The 8198-nt window shown below is 37.6% G+C and overlaps 1 annotated feature.

The window, feature by feature from the left end:
- Window positions 3735–4011: a silencer, noted in NCBI's record as "fragment chr12:87903779-87904055 (GRCh37/hg19 assembly coordinates)". NCBI's record gives its function as "represses an EF-1alpha promoter that drives an FKBP-Casp9 reporter gene in an ReSE screen in K562 erythroleukemia cells {active_cell/tissue: K562}" and the evidence as "EXISTENCE:reporter gene assay evidence [ECO:0000049][PMID:32094911]".

The following is an 8198-nucleotide window of genomic DNA, read 5'->3' on the forward strand; positions in this document are numbered from 1 at the left end:
TCACAGATGTGATTAAGGATGTTGAGATGAGGAGATTATTTTGGACTCCAAATGCAATCACATGTGTCTTTATGTAGAGGACATTAGGAGAGTTAACATACACAGAGAAGGTGATACGAAGATGCAGTCCAGAAAGACTTGAATATGCTCTTCTAGATAACTTGAGTGATGTGGCCAGAGTCAAGGAATGCTGCAACTATCAGCATTTGGAAGAAGAAACGTTGGATTCTCCCCTAGAGCCTCTGGAGAGAATGTGGCCCTGTTGAAATCTTGGTTTTGGCCCAGTAATACTGATTTTGGATGTCTGGCTTCTAGAATTGTGAATGAATACGCTTCTGTGGTTTAAGACATTGAATCTGTGATCATTACAGCAGCCACAGGAAATCAATACACATGGAATGAAGAAAGCAACAGATAAACGAGGTAAACAAGGAGAAAAATTGTTTTATACATTTTGACGTAGATATGAGATTGGTAGTGATTCTGGAGAAATTCTGGTTTTATGACAATCTCATGTTCTCACAGCTAAGACTTTCCAATTATGATTGTCTTAGCATGTTTTCTGTTGCTTATAACAGAATACCTGAAACTGGGTAATTTATAAAGAAAACAAATTTATTTCCTACAGTTATGGAGGCTGAGAAGTCTAAGGTTGAGGGACTGCGTCTGGTGAGGGTCTTCTTGCTAATGGAGACCTTCTGCAAATTCTCAAGGCAGCACAGGGCATCACATGATGAAGGGGCTAAAGCCACTAATGCTACTCACTCCCACAATAACTCATTAATAAATAAATCCATGAATGGATTAATCCAATTGTCCCAATCACCTCTTAACAGCCCTACCTCTCAATATCGCCACATTGGGGACTAAATTTCAACATGAGTTTGGGAGGGGACAAATATTTAAACCATAGAACTAATTATTTTTGATTCAGTAAATTCTTAAATAGAATAATTAAGTCAGAGAGAGAGAAGGAATGGACCGGCTAAAGTAGAGAGTTTTGAAGGGTAAGAACAGGTAATTTAAAATTACAGTGGAAAACAAAACCATATGAAGTAATTATGAAACTGCAATGTAAAATCTCTTTTAGTATTTAGGGACATACAAGCATTCTAATGGCATCATCCAAATATGTTAATATCAGTAAAATCTTTTCGTATTCAAGAAGTACTTGAAGAAATACGGCCAAAAGATTACAACCCCCACATAGTAGCTCAGGAACCCATTTAAAAACGAATCATGTGGCCAGGTGCAGTGGCTCACGCCTGTAATCCCAACACTTTGGGAAGCTGAGGCAGGCGGATCACGAGGTCAGGAGATCGAGACCATCCTGGCTAACACGGTGAAACTCTGTCTCTACTAAAAATACAAAAAATTAGCCAGGCGCGGTGGTGGGTGCCTGTAGTCCCAGCTACTCGGGAGGCTGAGGCAGGAGAATGGCGTGAACCCAGGAGGCGGAGCTTGCAGTGAGCCGAGATCGTGCCACTGCACTCCAGCCTGGGCGACAGAGCAAGACTCCGTCTCAAAACAAAAAACAAACAAAAAAACGAATCATGTAACTTGCCTGCTTAAAATCTTCAAATGGCACTTGACATAAACCAAACCTTCTTCCCATGACTGACAAAGCCCTCTATAGTCCAGATCTTTAATCTCATCTCCATTACTCGCTTGTCCCCTTTGCTCCCAACCCTGTCAGCTTCCACTTGTTCTTGTGCACACTTAAGTCTTTTTCCTCCTAATGCCTTTGTATATCTTGTTCCCTGCCTGTCAAGCATTCCTCCAGATAAATTCCTGGTGTTTACTCTAGCATTTGGTTAGGGAAGTGAGGTCTTTCCTAATCATCCTATCAGAATCTAGTATATATCCTCTTTTATTTTCTTCATATCGCCATCTAAAATTATTTTCTTTATTTTTTTTAAACTAATTCATTTGTTTCAACAAAAACTTCAAGCAAGAATTTTGGCCTATTCAAAACTCCATGACACTTAAAATTGTGCTTCACATGTGGCAGGCACTCAAATATTAGTTGAATGAATAAATATCTCTAGAGAAGATTGTAAAGAGTCCCCTTTGTCTTTTTTTTTTTTTTTTTTTTTTTTTTTTTTTTTTTTTTTTTGAGACGGAGTCTCGCTCTGTCGCCCAGGCTGGAGTGCAGTGGCGCGATCTCGGCTCACTGCAAGCTCCGCCTCCCGGGTTCACGCCATTCTCCTGCCTCAGCCTCCCGAGTAGCTGGGACTACAGGCGCCCGCCACCACGCCCGGCTAATTTTTTGTATTTTTAGTAGAGACGGGGTTTCACCGTGTTAGCCAGGATGGTCCCGATCTCCTGACCTCGTGATCCGCCCCCCTCGGCCTCCCAAAGTGCTGGGATTACAGGCGTGAGCCACCGCGCCCGGCCCCCTTTGTCTTCTTAATCTTGCATTGGAGCCAGTCATTTTCTCTCAATACAAAATTCTTTATTTTTTCTTTAAAGATACTATAAGATACCATCATTGTTGGTTTTCTGACACCAAAGTTCCGGACAATCTAGATCAAATTACTGTCAGTTGAGGATTTAAAGGCATGCATTCTTAATACCAATTTATTCACATAAACTTCTCTTTACTGAGAGTGCCTGCTGTGGCTCTGCAAAGTAAGTTATTTTAAAAATTAACTTCAAAATTGAAAGATTTTAGGGAAAAACTTTTGAACCTAGATTCTTAGATATTTGCCACAAAGCTTAAGACTTTGATCTCCAAGTCCTCTCCTGCAGAATAAACTTTCTATATTTAAATATCATCTTTCAACTTAGTCACATTTCATTTGTTTATTCAGAGTACCAGCTATATGCTAAGCCCCATTCAAAGATCTTAGGCTATAGATGCAAATAAAACAAAAACCCTGCCCTTAGAAAGATTACATTGTAGTGAATTAAGACAATCAATCATCAAATAAACAAGTAAGTATGTATTACATAAAATGGATGTGAGTGTAATAGAATAAAAAAATCTAAGTGACAAGCAATAAAATAAATTCAGGGGTCATGATAATGCTATTTAATACCAGGTGTTCAGAGAAATACTTATCTTCATGATGGGTAGACTCCTGGAGGAAGTAAGGATATAATTCATTCACATATGTCAAGAAATAACATTCTAGGTGGAGGGAATAGCCAGTGTAAAGTCTCTGAGTGTACCACACAGGGTCTGGCATGTAAGTAGCAAGAAGGTCAGTGTGAGTAGAGCAATGAAAGTAAAAAAGAGAGTGGTAGCAGATGAAATCAGAAAGGTAACAAGTAGAACAGACAGGCCATGAAGAGGTTCATAGACTATTTTAAGGGCATCAGCTTTAAGTCTGAGTAAATGGCTAGCCCAGTCACAGGGAGGATTTGAATAGAGGAGTAACATGATCTGATATATTTCAAATGAGTCATCCCTGCCTGTCATGTTGAGAATATACTTCCTGTTTCAGTTCAGAAAAATTATAAAGATTAAGGATTTCCTAACCAGCCAAAAAATAGTTTCTAATATATAGATAAATATTTGATTGACAAAAAGAATTGTCTCTTGATGAAAATTCATACAATTTGATACCTAATTTTCTCTTGATAAAAATATATACAATTTGCTACACAATTCTTAAGCTGAAACACTTGAAGTTTCCAATATTCAACAATTTTTTATTTGCAGAAAGAAGCAATTTCATATGTTCCAATTAGTAGTTATTAAATTATCTAAAGATAATTTTATGCATATAGATTTTGCTGATCTTAATAATTTTTTTTCATAAATGCCCTGCCCTTTACATCTTTGCCTGCATGTCTCTGTTGACAGTTGACTCTGTTAATATTTTTTCTCTATGGCTGGGCATGGTGGCTCACGCCTGTAATCCCAGCACTTTGGGAGGCCAAGGTGGGTGGATCATGAGGTCCAGAGTTCAAGACCAACCTGGCCAAGATGATGAAACCCCGTCTCTACTAAAAATAAAAAAAATTAGCCGGGTGTGGTGGTGGGTGCCTGTAATCCCAGCTACTCAGGAGAATCGCTTGAACCCAGGCGGCAGAGGTTGCAGTGAGCCAAGATTGCGCCACTGCACTGCGGTCTGGGTGACAGAGTGAGACTCCGTCTCAAAAAAAAAAGAAATTATTTCTACTTTGCCTCCTCTTTGGACCTATAATACTGAAGTTTCTAAATGTTGGTGAGAAATATAAGGGTTTAAGTATAGAATGCAATTTATAATAGAATTTAGAACTTCATACAAAAATAGTATTTTCCCCACCAATTAGAGGAAATGACCAAAACCTCTATTTTTAGGGTCTGCTTAGTTTGCCCTAACTTTTAGATTTCTGACCTTCTTAACATATCCAAAATGCAATAAATGCACCTTTCTCTCATGTTTAAATGGTTAGTCAGAAATAAATGAATAATGTTTTAATTAAATTTTAATTATGGAATAAAAATTGCTGAAATAACTTACGAGATATTAAAATTGTGATCATGCAATTGAACCCTTTTGAAATAAAATAGCATGTGGGGAACTTTTTCATAAAAATTCAAAGTTGTATTTATATTTTTTTCTTTTTAAACAATTTTTATTTTACCAAGATTAAAATCTATTGTAGAATAAATTATGACCAACAGTGACACATTAGCACAAAATCGGTAGTATGAACAGAATCAGAGAATAGAATTGTAGCTTAGCTTTGAGTTAGTGAAAAAAAAAAGTCTTCTAGAATTATATATTCTCTCAAGAGAGCTTGGTTAAAGTATAGTTCATGTTCTTAAATGATCAACTATATTTGAAAGAGTAATATCTAAAGGAGAATTTTACTTTCATTGAGTTGAGTTTGCAAAGCATGAAGCAAGATTGCTACACACAAAGGACCAAGGGGTTCTGTAACATTAACCATGGGTTAGCAATATGTAATCTGAAATATAATATCCTCTGTCATACATGTCAACAAAATGAGTATTAGTGGCCAAATGTCACAGGGATTTTTTATTGCCTCTAATCTAAGCTTCATTTTGTTGTTGTTTTTTAATAAAATTAATTAAGTTCCCTGACAAGTAGTTTCATGAGACATGCACACAAACTAATTAAGCTTGTTTTCTTAGGGATTTATGACTTATGGTTGATCGACTATGTAACTGAATTACATACTAATCTTCTAGGGTTGTAACTCCTGACATTTTTGGCTTTACAATATTCCTTTTATCACAAAATATCTTTAGGAATGTATTCACAGAAACTATTACTACTGCCAAAGCACAGATTTAAAATAGCCTTGGTGTTACAACAATGCTCGGCATTATAACAGTAGAAATGCTTCCTGTGTGAGGGAAGCCCTGTTAGGGCAATACTACCATACATACGGGCCACAAGCATCATTAGTCACCCAGCTATTCAAAGGCAGGTACTATGGCTACATACAATTAATAAATGCATTGCAGTGCCTGTGTATATTGCAATATAAAGCCTTCTGGACCTGATATCATGGTGTAAAAGTAGCTTGATAATCAAGAGAGGCAAGCTACCTAATGTTTCCAATTATTTAAAAGATAGGCCTGGTGTGGTGGCTCACATCTGTAATCCCAGCACTTTTGGAGGCTGAGGCAGGAAGATTGCTTGAGACCAGGAGTCTAAAACCAGCTTGGGCAACATAGGAAGATCCCATCTCTAAAAATAATAATAATAATAATAATAAAATTAAAATTAGCTGGGCATGGTGGTGCACACCTACAGTCCCTCTATTTGGGAAGCTAAGGCAGGAGGATCGCTTGAGCCCAGGAGGTTGAGGCTGCAGTGAGCTATGATCATGCCACTGCATGCTAGCCTGGGTGAGACAGCGAGATCTTGCCTCTTTAAAAAAAAAGAAAAAAAGAGTCTGGGCGCAATGGCTCACGCCTGTAATCTCAGCACTTTGGGAGTCTCAGGCAGGCAGATCACGAGGTCAGGAGTTCAAGACCAGCTTGGCCAACATGGCGAAACCCCGTCTCTACTAAAACTGCAAAAATTAGTCAGCCATGGTGGCGGGCGCCTGTAATCCCAGCTACTCCAGAGGCTGAGGCAGGAGAATCGCTTGAACACAGGAGGCAGAGGTTGCACTGAGCTGAGATCGTGCCATTGCACTCTAGCCTGGGCGGCAAGAGCAAGACTCCGTCTCAAAAAATAAATAAATAAATAAATAAATAAATAAATAAATAAATAAATAAATAAATGTTTTACACAATATCATCTTAAACTTCTACATGCAGAAGCTATAGAAAGCTATTATCCTATACCAACAATTTTGTAATAAAACTGCCATGATTTAAAAAGCATTTGATCAAGTTTTTCCTTTCCATTTATATTGTAAAAGTGAACTAAACTTCAGATCATCTGAAAGATTACATTTTAAATTACATTCTGCATATGATTTCCCTCTAGTAGTCTTCTGTTTATTAAAATCTAATTTTGTGCTCGCCTGTGGAATATCAACATTTTCTCATTTGGACCACCAATTATAAACTCCATAGAGATTAGACAGGTTATAGCTATGTAGTTCTCATAAGTATATTATTTATTTGGTTTAGCTCATTAATTAAGCTCTTAATTCAAAGCTAGCTCTATGTTTTCTGGACCTGTTTGTTTATTTTTAGCACTAAAGGGTCCTTATGCTCTTGTTTCCACATTTTACCATCATTCCTACTCCCGGTTCTCATCTAAGATATTACCATCAGTTCGTCCTCAGTGAAGAAAAAATAAGACATGTTCCATCTAGCTCGACATATTAGGTCCAAGAAAAAGTTCTCTGCTCCCAGTTACAAAAACCCTGACCTGGTAATCAATCTTCTGGATTAAGCTTAAAGATCTATAGCTAAATTTATGCTTTTTAGTCCTAGACTTCGTGGGACAAAGAAGAAAATACATTAAGTGTCTGGAGGTATGTGTCTCTCCAATATTTTTAAGGTACTTTCAGCTAAGCAAGAGACAACTCTAAAAATAAATTATAAAATAAAAATTTGATTTCACTTTTTTATATTGCAGGTTAAAATTTTGATACACATTTTTGTACCACTAATAAACAGAAAAGGAAAGCTGGGGAGGAAGGATCACTCTAGGCCAGGAGTTCAAGACCAGCCTGGGCAACATAGCAAGGCTCTGTCTTTAATTATTATTATTACTTTTTCAATTCGCCAAGTCCAGTGGCTGCTACCTGTAGTCCTAGCTCCTCGGGGGGCTAAGGCAGGATTGTTTGAGTGCAGAATTTCAAGACTGCATTGAGCTTAATGTACCACTGCATTCCAGCCTAGGTGACAAAGCAAGATCCTGTCTCTAAAAGCAAAAATAAAGAAACAGAAAACAGGAGTATGTAAGCTTACTTCTAGTGAAGTGTTAAAAGATTAAATGCTCCTGCTGTTTCAGCTTCTAGATCAATAAAGAAGAAAGTGTTCAACAGAAAGCCTAGCTGAGCCACCACCACCAGTCATGTAGTGTGGAGTAATACATGCAAGGAGAGGTCACATGAGTGTGCCCTCCCCCTGCTATACACACATGGCCAGTCAGAACCACCTGCTGTGCCACTAACCATTTGCTTTTCATAAAAATTGTGGTAAGATATACATAACATAAACTTTACCATTTTAACTATTTTCAAATTTGCTTCAATAGGCTTTTATTTCCATGATACAGATTATGGGGGCTTACAGTTTTTGATTCATAAGAAGCATCTCTCTGAACTGAATTAAATCCCTGCTTCCCTTTCTATCTAATGCTAAGAAGCTGTATGCAGAATCACAAAGCACTGAATAGTCACTGCACACTCACATAAGTCATAACTTTAACCAACATAAAAATCTGCTAATGATTAGAGGAGGATACAAGCCAACAGTAGGCCTGTGTGCCTACGAATGCAGCATCAAAGCACTGGGCTCTCAAAGGGATCTAAGCCACCAGATCTAGCTTCAAAAGAGAGTTATTCTTTCTGCCCTAAGACGTCTTTGGTTTCAGAGTAACAGATGAGATCTAATGATGTGTGTAGTACAACTTAAAGAAAAGAAAGGTGTTCTGATTTGAGCTTCTTGGTGTCTATACTTCATTATTTACTCAGGTTGAAACATGACTACTTTTGTTCTTCAACCAGCTGTATCCCATAAGGTCATAATTCCAGTTTTATTTATAATAAGTAACCTAGCTATGCCAAATATATCCTGCTTAAAATATTGTTAGATTTCAAGTTCC

This window comes from Homo sapiens, chromosome 12 (genome assembly GCF_000001405.40).
Source record: "Homo sapiens chromosome 12, GRCh38.p14 Primary Assembly".
Lineage (NCBI taxonomy): Eukaryota > Metazoa > Chordata > Mammalia > Primates > Hominidae > Homo > Homo sapiens.